This window comes from Homo sapiens, chromosome 8, assembly GCF_000001405.40.
Source record: "Homo sapiens chromosome 8, GRCh38.p14 Primary Assembly".
NCBI lineage: Eukaryota > Metazoa > Chordata > Mammalia > Primates > Hominidae > Homo > Homo sapiens.
Window position 1 is genome coordinate 105944336 of NC_000008.11, and position 15276 is coordinate 105959611.

Genomic DNA, 15276 nt, shown 5'->3' on the forward strand with positions numbered 1-15276 from the left:
TAGAGAGGTGAGCTGTTTGGAAAGCTGCTTTTGCTTCTTCCAGCTATTGCCTTGGGGAATAATGCCTGACCCACACCTACCTGTTTCCTGGTCCCCTCAAGGATAAAACCAGACAAGCTCAGAAGTGGTTCGCCTGTGAGATGCTGAGAAAAATGGGTGGAGAAGAGTGGTTGTAGTTTCATGGTTCACAGAGCTCTTCATCTATATTAGTTTTCTCTTGCTGTCAAACAATATTACCATTAAGACAACATACATTTCTTACTACAGGACAGGAGTCTGGGCATGATTTAGCTGGGTTCTCTGGGAAGCCATAATCAAAGTGTTGCTTGGTGCTGTGGTCTCATAGGAGGCTTAACTAAGCAAGGCTCCACTTCCAAGCTCACTCTAGTTCTTCACAGAATTTAGATGATTAAATAAATTAATATATTAATATTATTTATTAAATATTAATGATTTAATAAATCATTAGAATGATTAAAATAAATTAGTTTAGCTAGCTGGTTGAATATAAACTGAATTTCAACTTCATTGAATTTCCACAAAACAGCAACAGCTCAAATATTTGATTTAAGGCAGATATTATTTAAAGTAGCAACAAAAATGTTTGTAGGACTGAGGGCTTTAGTTCTTTGCAGTTTGTCAGCTGTGGGCCTCCCCAGACACTAGAGATCACCTACTTGACCATGTGCAGTTTCCCAGCATGACTTGTGGCTTCCTTAGAGACAACAGCGGAGGAAGAGACTCCAGGAAGATGGTTACTATAAATGTATGCATGTAGTCACACACATGTAATCACATACATCCTGTCACCTTTCCTGTATTCTATTGGTTAGGAGCAAGTCACATGTCATGTCTGCACTCAAGGGTAAGGTACAATGCAAGGGTACAAACATTGAAAGGCAGGAATCATGGGGGAGAGCACTCTAGCATATGTGCAGACTGTCTCAAGGGTCCCTCAAGCCTCCTCTCTCTCCATCCCAGCCTCTGAGCTCTTTGGGATTGACAGGAACGGGTGCTGGACTTTCCTCTGTATATTCCCTGACAGAGTAGCTGATAACTCTAAAGAAAATGAACCCAGATGCCAAAATTACTAGGCAGCTGGAGAACCTAACCATTCCAAAAGAAAATATTTTCATAAGAACAAGAAATGAAAAAGTTGACTACCAACAGAACCTCTCTAAACATATGTCTCAAGAATGTACTCCAGAAGAAGGAAAATAATCTCAGAAGGAAGGTGTGTGAGAATCCACTGATGTAGTCCATACAGGCTTGCCTTCTGGGGCAGTAAATTAGCTGGATAAGTATGAAGAAAAGACATAAAAGTTATCTTGCAAAACCCAAATTTTAGTCTTTTGCTGCTTTTATGCAATACACTTAAAACATAACAATACAGAATGTTTGAAAGGAAATGTATTGCATAACATACCAGAAAAATGTTAATCCATCAAATCAAATAGACTTCCAGGCCAAATAAACAAATGCTAAAGAAAATCACTGACTATTACTAAAAGGCTTATATAATTCTAAACTAATATAAAATTTTTAAAATGGTTTCAAAATATATAAGCAAAAACGCATATAAGTACATGAAGAAATTGACAACTTTTCATTACAATGGGCTGTCTCTGAGCAATTGATAAATCAAGCAGAAAAAGAAATCAGAAAGGATGCCACAGATTTGGAGCACACAATTAACTTTATCTAATGGATATAGAAAAAATATTGCATTCAACATCTGAAGAATACATATTGTCTTCAAGCACATGTAATGTATATAAAAACTGTCAGTGTACTAAGTAAACAAGCAATTTTCAACACTTAAAAAAATCAGTTTCTTTCAAACTACATTCTCTGACTACATTACAATTAAGTTTGAAATTAAGCAGAAAAACATAATAGAAAACTTGATACATCTAAAATGCTTAAAAACTTGACTGTAATTAATTACTTCAATTACTTAATTTATTTGACCTCATAGGTCAAAATTAAAATTGAACTGAATCATAATTAAAATGATACGTGTTGAAACGTGACTTTTTGTGAAAAATCATTACAAGAAAGATACTTATAACATAAAATGTACATTTTAAAAAAAGAAGAAATACTGAATAGTTGTACATTAACCATCAAACTTGAAAGATCAGAAAAGGAACAATAGAAAAACCTCCCAAAAAGTTGAAAGAAAGGAATAATAATGCTAGCACTAGAAATTAATGAAATAGAAAAGAGTCATAAAGAAAGAGAGGAATGAAAATACTAAAGTTAGTTCTTTAGCAAGACTAATAAAATTGAAAAACATCTAGAACTATTGCTAAAAGAAAAAGAGAGGGACCAAATAAATAATATAAGGAAGCAAAAAGGACATACAAATAGATATAGCTGAGATTAAAAAGATAATGAACCTATTAAAATAAGAATACTAGTAAATTGAAACCATTAGGAGAATGAAAGTCTTAAAAATCTCATAGGAGGAAAATAGAAAATCTAAATGATTTTTGTAATGTTACAAAATGGAGCTATAGAAATTGATGCAATCGAATATTTTTATATTCCAACCCCCCGCCACACACACACACAAAGACAAGGCCCAAATGTTCACAGACAGGTTCTATTCAATGTTCAAATAACAGAAATAGTCTTATGGTTTTATTTCAAAAAACATATAAGAAAAAATTCCATTTCACATGTCTAGTATTACCTTAATATCAAAAATCCATCAAGAATAATAAGTAAATAAGAAACTATAATTGTATATAACACATGAATCTGGAACAAAATTTTAGCTAACAAAATCAGTAATCAAACTCAAAAATGTATTTAAAATAACACACTAATATCAAGTATGATTTATTCTATAAATAAAAGTTTACATCTAAAAACTATTAATATTATTTCATATATTAAAAATTATCACATAAATATTAAATCATCTCAGATTTAAAGAATTAACTTTGATAATATCTAAAGTCAATTCATTATATAAACTCTTAGTATTCTGGGAAAAGAAGAAATGTCATCACAGAATGAAGACCACATATCCTACACAGTAGAGAAACATTAAAAGCTTTCCCCTCAAAATCAGAAGCAAGAAAAAAAAATGCATAATTACATTCCTTATTTTCAACTAGCACAATATGCCAGGAAAAACAAATAAAAGGTAAAATACTAGAAAAGGAAAAAATTAAACTGTTATTCTCAAATGATGATAGTCTATCTGGAAGACACAGAACTTAAAGACAAATGATTAAAATAAATTAGTTTAGCTAGCTGGCTGAATATAAACTTAATTTCAACTTCAGTTGAATTTCCACAAAAGAGCAACAGCTCAAATATTTGATTTAAGGCAGATATTTTTTAAAGTAGCAACAAAAATATGAAAATCAAGAATAAATTATAAAAGATGGGTCAGACCTTATGGGATAAATTATAAAACTTCATTGTGTGATATTAAGATAAACCAATTAATGAAAAAATTTACTGTAACCAAGTTAAGGAGGACTCAGTATTGAAAAGATATCAATTATCCCCAAGTTAATCAAAATAATTTATATAGAATTTGACAAAATTAGTCTAAGTTCATATGTAAAGGCAAAATGGCCGAAGTTAATCAAGATGAACAGGAAGGAGAATGCAATAATGTAGAGAAGACTGATCATGCAGTAGTATAGATCCCAGAAACATAAATGAAAACTTAGTGCATATACAGGTTATACTGCATATCAGTGAGGAATTGATAGGATATTCAATAAATGATTTGTAGACATATAGGGAAAAATAAAAAGAATACCTACCCCACCATATCCTCAGTTACTCCAGATGGATTCAAGACTAAATGTTAAAATTTCAATAAGAAATTTCCTAGAGAATACACTCATAATTTTTGAAAGAGCTTTTAAAAACAAGCTCCAATCTTAAATAAAAGATTAGTAAATTAAATTATATTGAAATTAAGAAATTCATCACAAGATACCATAAAGACAGGAAAATGATAAGCAGAAACTTAGAGACAATATTGGCAACACAAAAAAAACTAAAAAGAATTAGCATTGAGAGCACACTGTAAATAAAGAACTCCTAAGTAAGAATAAGAAGAAAAAACAATAACAATAAGCAATGGATCTAAACGTATAAATAGGTGTTTCAAAGGACAGAAAATACAAACTGACAGTAAGTACAGTATATGAAAAGATGCTTAACCTCAGTAATAAAAGAGGCTGAAAGGATTAGCCATCTTATTTGGCTTTATGAAGAGTAGCAAATAAAAATCTCCCATTGTTTGTTGAAAGTGAAAGAGGCCCAGAATATAGACTTCTTCCTGTCTGCAAGAAGAAGACAGGGCCATGGAGCTTCAGTGACTCAAAGTAGCCATTTGCAGTAGGTTCTTGACATGATACTGGGCGTACCTGAACAAGGCTTACAAAGCAAAATGATCTAGAGCCAAAGTGCAGGAGTCAGAAAAATCTGAGTTGAATCCCAGTGCTGTTGCTTATTATCTGTGTAACCCTAAATATCTGTACTTCATCTTTTGGATCCTCAATCTTCTCACTGAAAATGATGATAATCAGTGCTAACTTCATAGCATTGTTATCAGGAGTAAATGAGAGTATATGTAAGACAAAAGTACAGCATCTAACACACAAAAAACCACTCAAATATTAGATTTTATTATTTTAATCTGCACAAAGTTCTAGAGTTTACAAAAACACTTTTATCTTTTTATCTATTATTTTATAGTTCAAAAATATGAGAGGGCATTATTCTTTTTGAGTCATTATGTTTACTTATTTTTGAATAGGCAATATAAAACTGCAGTAAAATTACATAACATGAAGACTCCTTTTATATTCTTCCATGTTTTTCTTAATATTTAAATAAATGTAAACATAGATTGTTATTCCCCCTTTTTTGTACAAATGATTGCATCTTATATCACTGTCTAAACTTACTTTTTCACGTAATTTATCTTGCAAATATTTTCATAAATGTACATAAAATTGGAAATAGTAACTAATATTAATTATGTGCAAGGCTTCTATTCTAACTGCTTTATGTATTTTAACAGCCTCAATCTTTTCTGTCAAACCCTCTGAGATGGTACTCTTGTTAACCTCATTTTAAAGGTGAGTACACTAAGGCTCAGAGACTGTACACAAGCTGCCCAAGGTTGTACAGATATTCAAATGACAGAACCAAGATTTGATCTCATGTAGTCAATATTCGTATATTCCTCTTCTTTAACAAATTGTATAGTCTTCCATTTTACACTTTCACCATGATCTATTCAACCAGTTTCATACTGATGGATATTTACGTTTTTTTCTCTTTTGCTATTACTAACAACATGGGAATGGATACCATTTTATGTCAGTCATTTTAAACATATGTGAGTTTATTTTTGTAGAATAAATTTATACAAATGAAACTATCAGATCAAAGAGAATGTACATTTGTAATTTGGATAGATCTTACTAAATATACTTTTGTATATTTTTATATTCCACCAGTATTAAAGCATCTATACACCACAATTTTTTCACAGAAGTGGGTCAGCAAACTTTTAAGTTTTTCCTATTTAGGAGGTAAAAATGGTATCATTATGTAACTTTTAAGCATTTCTTTTTTAATAAATGAGTTTGAGCACTTCAAAATATTGTATAAGTTTTTGTACTTACTTTTCCTTGAACCCTCTGTTGATATTCTTACTCTAATTTTTTGTTGATATTTTAGTCTTCTATGAAGTAATTTGAGTTCTTTTTACATTAGAAAAATTATTTACTATCTGGATATGAAGCACAAAAGTTTTTTACCTCTTTGTTATTTATGTTTTGACTTTACTTTCACGTTTTGCCATGCAGAAATGTTTTACTCTTGTGTAGAAAATGTATTAATTTTCTCTTTCATGGCATCTGGATTTCAAACCATATTATGAAAGCCCTTTACTACCCCAAGCATATAAAATAATTAATTCACATTACATATATGGTTTATGTTTTATATTTAAAATTTTAATTTATTTGGAATTTTACTGGTATGTACTCTAAAGTATGGGTTCGGATGTATTTTTTAGAAAGTTGTCCAATTGTGCCAACAATATTTACTGGGTAAAGCACTAATGTTTTTAGTGATTTTAGATGTCATTTTCGTATGCTAAACTCTTGAGTATATTTTTATCTGTTTTCTGATGTTTTTGCTCTTTCTGTGTCACCTTGTGTTAATTATGGGATGTATATGATGTTGTAATATGCAACATGACTCGTTTCTCTCATTGCCCTTCTTTTTTTCAGTTTCCATTTCTATTTGTGTTTGCTCATTTTCCAATAAAAATTTAGAATTAGTTCTTCTAGTTAAAAAAGGCTCTTGGTGAATTTTTTGAGATCACATTATATTTTTATTAGGATCTCATTTTATTATATTGTATGTATTCATCCAAATTTTCCTTTGTATAATTCAGAAGTAATTTAAAGTTTTTCATATGTCTTTAATATGTCTTAGCTTTATTTCTAGCTATTTGATCTTTTCTTTTGATATTGCAAATTATTTTTTCAATTGTATTTTCTAACAGTTTATGCTAATGATTTTTATGTCATTATGAAAATTATACTAGTTATATATCAAGGTCATACTATTTTTGTATATTCTATATATTACCACCTTACTCAAATACCATATTGCATGTACCAGTTTTAAACTAGATTTTTGGCATGTTGTGGCTCACACCTTGTAATCCCAGCACTTAAGGAAGCTGAGGTGGGAGGATACCTTGAGGCCAGGAATTGGAAACCAGCCTGGTTAACTTAGTGAGACCCCATCTCTACAAAAAATTAAGGAATCAGCTGGACATTGAGGCACATTCCTGTAGTTCTAACTACTTGGGAGGCTGAGGCAGGAGAATCACTTGAGCCTAGGAGTTTGAGGCTGCAGTGAGCTATGATAGTGCCACTGCAGTTAGCCTGAGCAAGAGCAAAACCCAATCTCAGAAAAAAAACCCAGATTTTTGTGGTTTATTAAATGATACAATCTGCATATACTGATAGTCTGAATTTATTATCTCTGATTTTCATACTTATAATGTATTTTTGTCTAATTTTATTGTCTAGTAATTCTTGAACAATGTTAAATAATAATGTGGATAGAGGATAATCTTGTTTGTTTTTGACTTTAGTAGAGAAATATCTGGTATTTGCCATTAAGAATGTTGGTCTTTGGATTGAGATAGTTATCATGTTAAGGAAAAGTCTGCATTTTAAAATTTATTAACTGCTTTTGCCAAGAATTTTTATTGAATGTTGTCAAATGACTTTACAACCTCTATTGACATGATCAAAGAATTGTTTTTCATCTGTGATATGATTAATATATCACTTAATATTCAACTGTTTCTGCACTATTAGAATAAGTAAATCTTGCCTTTTCAAGATATATTATTTTTTAGTATGCTGCTGGATTCTGCTTCCTCATTTAGAATTTTTTCATTGATAGGCACAAGTGGTATTGGTCTGTAGTCTCCTGTTGAAGACTAACATCATCACATATTGATATACTCATTTTGTAAAATTATTTCTCTTACTAGTCTGTGAAGCAACCTAAGTAACATTTGAATTTTGGCTCATGGAAGGTTTGGTAAAATTTCTCTGTGAAGCCACCTGACCTTGTAATTTGGTGGAACACTGTGACAAGTTGATCTCCTATGGGAATTCGTCCGGTAAAATGTTCTAATTCTTTAAGAGTCTGTTTTTGTAAATTCAAAATTTGCCAAAAAATTATATGTATTTATCCTTGTTTTCAAATTTACTTTGCATAGAATTATGTAAAGTTTCTTGTGGTTCATTAAAATTTGAAATATCATTATTAACACCATATCTGAGATCAGAAAACTGAATCTGATACAACATTGAGGTCCAATTTACACAATTAGGAGATAGATCTCTCCTTCAAAACCAGGCCTTTTGACTCATTTTTGCTCCATTCCCCTGAACCTCATTGCATGTCCTCCCCACCCACCCTCCCAGCCCCACCTACCCTTTCCCAGCAGCCTGACTTGGCAGGGCACTGAAATGTAAAGTTGTTATCAGGAGCTGATAAGAGTCCCCTTAAAATAATGCTACTTTTGTTACTACAGCATTACATGTCCTGTCAGATTTCCTCACTGAAGATAAATTCTGTCCAACCTGTATCAAAATTAAGCAGCCTCAGTGTAGCTAAGGGGACATTGATCAAAATGACATCCTGTCATATATCGAACTAAAGGAATTGATTTCTTCTTTAAAATTAAAAAAATCAAATTAGACTCTATTACTTTGTTGCAACCTTTGCAATAGAGCAACTGGAGGTAGAGAGTACAACTCAATACAACTAGCTAAAAATGTACTTAAGAAAAAGCATCTCGCAGAAACATTTGCTAGCTCATGTTATTCTTCACCCAAAGTGGAAGGGTGTATTGCAATTAAATTCTGATTAAAAATAATAAATATAACCAATATATAATTTAGAGGAGACATTCTTGGAAACAAGAATGTTTATGGCATGGATTTTGACATATCAATTTATTTTAGTTTTTAGACTGACATAAAAAATTGACTCCAGGAAGAAAAGTATAACTGAGTATCTTTTATAAGTATAATAAAATGACCAATTCTGCTCCACTATTGATCCCAGGCAATTTCTAATCTGGCAACCAACGACATTGAGCACAGGACACAGTATAGTCTCTTATGAACTTGAACTTGCCATCATTCATCATGGGTTTAATTTATGAAGCTGAATAGAATGACACCATAGGGAGTCTACATTATCTGTCCCTTGTTTACCTCTTCAACTCCACTGCAGACTGCTCCTGCTTGCTTACTAAGTTTCAGCCACTCTGGCTGGTTTTTCAGTTCCTTGAACCTATTCAATTTTACCTGCCTCAGGACCTCTGTCTTCTCTGTCTTTTTCTCACTACGGCAAGATTTTTAAAGATCTTCGTATGGTTGGCTCTTTGTCATAATTCAGATCTCAGCTAAAATTCCACCTTCTCAGAGATGTATTCCCCAGCCACACTCATTATTGTCCTGAATAAAAGCTAAGTGACAACAATCTACGGTGGGTATTGGACTTCTAAAGAGTACTTAAGATGAAGGTAAAGGAAGTTTTAAATACACAGTAGAGGATCTAAAAGTCCCTGGTTTTGTAATGTGTTTGAAATGATAGAGATTTATGATTGAGAAGAGCGTATTTCAAATGGCTTTAACAAAAGTACTGGGTTCTTTCATAAAAATTAATCTCATAAAAACTTAGTATTTGAAAGCATCAATTTAAAAGGCTTTTTTGTATTCATATTGAAATAGTAATATGTTGGCTTTTCCCATTTTAACTAGAGCTTTTTAAATTTTTTTATTATTATTATACTTTAAGTTCTGGGATATATGTGCAGAACGTGCAGGTTTGTTACATAGGTATACACAGGCCATGGTGGTTTGCTGCACCCATCAACCTGTCATCTTCATTAGGTAGTTCTCCTAATGCTATCCCTCCCTAGTCCCCCACCCCCCAACAGGCCCTGGTGTGTGATGTTCCCCTCCCTGTGTCCATGGGTTCTCATTGTTCAGCTCCCACTTATGAGTGAGAACATGCAGTATTTGATTTTCTGTTCCTGTTTCAGTTTGCTGAGAATGATGGTTTCCAGCTTTATCCATGTCTCTGCAAAGAACATGAACTCATCCTTTTTATGGCTGCATAGTAAGAACAATTATGTCTTTAATTTAAAAAACTTTATCATTGTTATTACAAATGTTTCTACATTCATACTGCATACATTTTCATGTATTTTACAGTCTTGCATTGGAAATGCACTTCACTCATCTGCAGAGATTTTGATGAGGACTTCAAAAGCCATCTTATTCATCTAAACATGATCCAATCAGGCAAAAGATTGCATCATAATCTGTATGTAGTATTAGCTTTTCTAATAGAATATAAACTACATCATAAAGATCATGTTTTCTCTTTTGTCAATAATCCTAGTGCCACAAAAATTATTGTGATGTGCCACAAAAGTATGATAGGGTTATCATCCATAATATTATTGTTGTTTTATAATAGAAATAAGAAATACATACATAAAAGAATTAATGACTTAGCCTCATGTTCAGAAATAAATGCTAATGACATTAGAGAAGTTGTCATAAGAAAACATTTTAATTGTGTAAAGAACAAAATCCCAGACTGAGGAGGAAGCAACATGGGTTAAACTTATCAGAGAAAATTTCAGGGGATTGTTGGGACTTTACTAGAGATATTTAATGAGGATGAGATATGGATAAGATGAAAAAAGAAGAAATTTGCTTCCTAGATTTTTAGAGTTTGTGTATACTCATAAAGTTACATATTAATATATTCTAACTATAGATTTAAATGTTGATGATGTGTACACAAATATACAGGAACTCACCTATCTGGTTGACTTTGTTTCTATTAGAAGCAATAAATCGCTAAATTTGGAAGCAGCGCAAAATTCAACTCAACCAATTACCTACTCTCTTATAGAAGTCAATGGGTTCTGTAAAGGGGGGCGGTTCCAAAATGGTCGAACAGGAACAGCTCCAGTCTATAGCTCCCAGCATAAGCGATGCAGAAGACAGGTGATTTCTGCATTTCCAACTGAGGTACCGGGTTCATCTCACTGGGGCTCGTCAGACAGTGGGGGCAGGAGCAGGATGGTGTGTGTAGTCCACCGAGCGTGAGCCGAAGCAGGGAGAGGCATTGCCTCACCGTAGAAGTGCAAGGGGTCAGGAAATTCCCTTTCCTAGCCAAGGGGAGGGGTGACAGACGGCACCTGGAAAAATGGGTCACTCCCACCCTAATGTTACCGGGGGTCCTTGCTCCCAGAGCTCCCAAGATGGTGGTGGAACACTTCAAAGATGGTGGCGGGCCACTTCCAAGATGGTGGCAAGCCTCGTGTTCTCTGACCTGTGGTTCTTGGCCTCACAGATTCCAAGGAATGGAATCTTGGGCCATGCGGTGAATGTCATAGCTCTATTAGAAGTCATGGGTAACAGAAGAGAACCATGGAACCCAGTGACTAGTGTCCAGCTCGATTAGGACAAACCCAGGCACTTAGCTGTGCAGAACTATTGCAAGCCTTTAGCCCGATCAGGAGTGGCAATGGGCACCTCATTGGATCAGGAGCACAGTGGACACCCTGCCAGATCTGGAGGGATAGGAGTCAGTGGTGAGTCTGTGACGGCGGCAAACAGCAGTGGTGGATGGTGAGTGAAAGCTCAGCTCGAGCCGTAACAGACATAGACCAGAAGAGTGCAGTTGCAAGATTTAATAGAGTGAAATAGAGTAAAAACAGAGCTACCATACAAAGGGAGGGGACCCAAAGGGTGTTGCTGTTGCCGGCTTGAATGCCTGGGTTTATATCCTGATCTTTGTCCCTCCTGCTGTGCTCTCAGGCAATAGATGATTGGCTATTTCTTTACCTCCTGTTTTTGCCTAATTAGCATTTTAGTGAACTCTCTGATTGGTTGGGTGTGAGCTAAGTTGCAAGCCCTGTGTTTAAAGGTGGATGCGGTCACCTTCCCAGCTAGGCTTAGGGATTCTTAGTCATCCTAGGAAATCCAGCTAGTCCTGTCTCTCAGAAATACTGCACTTTTCCAATGGTCTTAGCAAACGGCACACTAGCAGATTATATCTCACGCCTGGCTTGGAGGGTCCCACGCCCATGGACCTTCGCTTATTGCTAGCACAGCAGTCTGAGATTGAACTGCAAGGCAGCAGCAAGGCTGGGGGAGGGGCGCCCGCCATTGCTGAGGCTTGAGTAGGTAAACAAAGCGGCTGGGAAGCTCAAACTGGGTGGAGCCCACCCCAGCTCAAGGAGGCCTGCCTGCCTCTGTAGTCTCCACCTCTGGGGGCAGGGCATAGCCAAACAAAAGGCAGCAGAAACCTCTGCAGAATTAAATGTCCCTGTCTAACAGCTTTGAAGAGAGTAGTGGTTCTCCCAGCACGGAGTATGAGATCTGAGAACGGACAGACTGCCTCCTCAATTGGGTCCCTGACCCCTGAGTAGCCTAACTGGGAGGCATCCCCCAGTAGGGGCAGACTGACACCTGACACAGCCGGGTACCCCTATGAGATGAAGCTTCCAGAGGAACGATCACGCAGCAACACTTGCTGTTCAGCAATATTTGCTGTTCTGCAGCCTCCGCTGCTGATACCCAGGCAAACAGGGTCTGGAGTGGACCTCCAGCAAACTCCAACAGACGCACCTGAGGGTCCTGACTGTTAGAAGGAAAACTAACAAACAGAAGGGATATCCACATCAAAACCCCATCTGTACGTCACCATCATCAAAGACCAAAGGTAGATAAAACCACAAAGATGGGGAAAAAACAGAGCAGAAAAGCTGAAGATTCTAAAAATCAGAGCACCTCTCCTCCAAAGGAATGCAGCTCCTTGCCAGCAATGGAACAAAGCTGGACAGAGAATGACTTTGACAAGTTGAGAGAAGAAGGCTTCAGATGATCAAACTTCTCCAAGCTAAAGCAGGAAGTTTGAACCCATCAAAAAGAAGCTAAAAACCTTGAGAAAAGATTAGACAAATGGCTAACTAGAATAACCAGTGTAGGGAAGTCCTTAAATTACCTGATGGAGCTGAAAACCATGGCACGAGAACTATGTGACAAATGCACAAGCTTCAGTAGCCGATTCGATCAACTGGAAGAAAGGGTATCAGTGATTGAAGATCAAATGAATGAAATGAAGCAAGATGAGAAGTTTAGAGAAAAAAGAGTAAAAAGAAACAAACAAAGCCTCCAAGAAATATGGCACTATGTGGAAAGACCAAATCTACGTCTGATTGGTATACCTGAAACTGACGGGGACAATGGAACCAAGTTGGAAAACATTCTGCAGGATATTACCCAGGAGAACTTCCCCAACCTAGCAAGGCAGGCCAACATTCAAATTCAGGAAATTCAGAGAATGCCACAAAGATTCTCCTCAAGAAGAACAACTCCAGGACACATAATTGTCAGATCACCAAAGTTGAAGTGAAGGAAAAAATGTTGGAGAGAAAGGTCGGGTTTCCCACAAAGGGCAGCCCATCAGACTAATACCTGATCTCTCAGCAGAAATGCTACAAGCCAGAAGAGAGTGGGGGCCAATATTCAACATTCTTAAAGAAAATAATTTTCAACTCAGAATTTCATATCCAGCCAAACTATGCAAATAAACAAGAAAATAAGTGAAGGAGAAATAAAATCCTTTACAGACAAGCAAATGCTGACAGATTTTGTCACCACCAGGCCTGCCCTACAAGAGCTCCTGAAGGAAGCACTAAACATGGAAAGGAAAAACCGGTACCAGCCACTGCAAAAACATGACAAATTGTGAAGACGATTGATGCTAGGAAGAAACTGCATCAACTAACGAGCAAAATAACCAGCTAACATCATAATGACGGGATCAAATTCACACATAACAATATTAACCTTAAATGTAAATGGGCTAAATGCTCCAATTAAAAGACACAGACTGGCAAATTGGATGAAGAGTCAAGACCCATCAGTGTGCTGTATTCAGGAGACTCATCTCACGTGCAGAGACACACATAGGCTCAAAATAAAGGGATGGAGGAAGACCTACCAGGCAAATGGAAAACAAAAAAAGGCAGGGGTTGCAATCCTAGTCTCTGATAAAACAGACTTTAAACCAACAAAGAGCAAAAGAGACAAAGAAGGCCATTACATAATGGTAAAGGGATCAATTCAACAAGAAGAGCTAACTATCCTAAATATATATGCACCTAATACAGGAGCACCCAGATTCATAAAGCAAGTCCTTAGAGATCTATAAAGAGACTTAGACTCCCACACAATAAAAATGGGAGACTTTAATACCCCACTGTCAACATTAGACAGATCAATGAGACAGAAAGTTAATAAGGATATCCAGGAATCAAACTCAGTTCTGCACTAAGTGGACGTAACAGACATCTACAGAACTCTCCACCACAAATCAACAGAATATACATTCTCAGCACCACATCACCACTTATTCCAAAATTGACCACATAGTTGGAAGTAAAGCACTCCTCAGCAAATGTAAAATAACAGAATTTATAACAAGCTGTCTCTCAGACCACAGTGCAATCAAACTAGAACTCAGGATTACCATCAGAGTGAACAGGCATCCTACAGAATGGGAGAAGATTTTTGCAATCTACTCATCTGACAAAGGGCTAATATCCTGAATCTACAAAGAACTCAAACAAATTTACAAGAAAAAAACAACCCCATCAAAAAGTGGGCAAAGGATATGAATAGATACTTCTCAAAAGAAGACATTTATGCAGCCAAAAGACACATGAAAAAATGCTCATCATCACTAGCCATCAGAGACATGCAAATCAAAACCACAATGAGATACCATCTCACAACAGTTAGAATGGCGATCATTAAGAAGTCAGGAAACAACAGGTGCTGGAGAGGATGTGGAAAAATAGGAACACTTTTACACTGTTGGTGGGACTGTAAACTAGTTCAACCTTTGTGGAAGACAGTGTGGTGATTCCTCAAGGATCTAGAACTAGAAATACCATCTGACCCAGCCATGCCATTACTGAGTATATACCCAAAGGATTATAAATCATGCTGCTATAAAGACACATGCACACGTATGTTTATTGAGGCACTATTCACAATAGCAAAGACTTGGAACCAACCCAAATGTCCAACAATGATAGACTGGATTAAGAAAATGTGGCACATATACACCATGGAATACAATGCAGCCATAAAAAGAATGAGTTCATGTCCTTTGTAGGGACATGGATGAAGCTGGAAACCATCATTCTCAGCAAACTATCACAAGGACAAAAAACCAAACACCGCATGTTCTCACTCATAGGTGGGAATTGAACAATGAGAACACTTGGACACAGGAAGGGGAATATCATGCACTGGGGCCTGTTGTGGGGCAGGGGGAGGGGGGGAGGGAAAGCATTAGGAGATATACCTAATGTAAATGACGACTTAATGGGTGCAGCACACCAACATGACACATGTATACATATGTAACAAACCTGCACGTTGTGCACATGTACCCTACAACTTAAAGTATAACAACAACAACAACAAAAACAAAAACAACTAAAGACAACAAATTTGGAAGAAAAAGAAAAAAATAAGAAGTCAATGAGTTCTGATCTGAGTTATGCTTTCCTCTGGTTCAAAGTGCTTAAAGCAGTTAATTTCCTGTTAACCAGAGGTTATGATTTTAATGTCTCTATTTGGA

General features: G+C 35.7%; 1 long non-coding RNA gene across 2 annotated transcripts in view, besides 1 other annotated feature; it reads right to left on the reverse strand.

Annotated features, from left to right (window-relative positions):
• Nucleotides 1–15276, reverse strand: part of ZFPM2-AS1 (ZFPM2 antisense RNA 1) — a 280094-nt gene that overhangs the window by 163926 nt on the left and 100892 nt on the right. The gene's annotated exons all lie outside the window — the stretch shown is intronic.
• Nucleotides 9219–10418: an enhancer, noted in NCBI's record as "MED14-independent group 3 enhancer chr8:106965782-106966981 (GRCh37/hg19 assembly coordinates)". NCBI's record gives its function as "activates an origin of replication core promoter dependent on BRD2, BRD4, P300/CBP and CDK7 cofactors, and independent of MED14, by STARR-seq in HCT116 cells {active_cell/tissue: HCT116}" and the evidence as "EXISTENCE:reporter gene assay evidence [ECO:0000049][PMID:35650434]".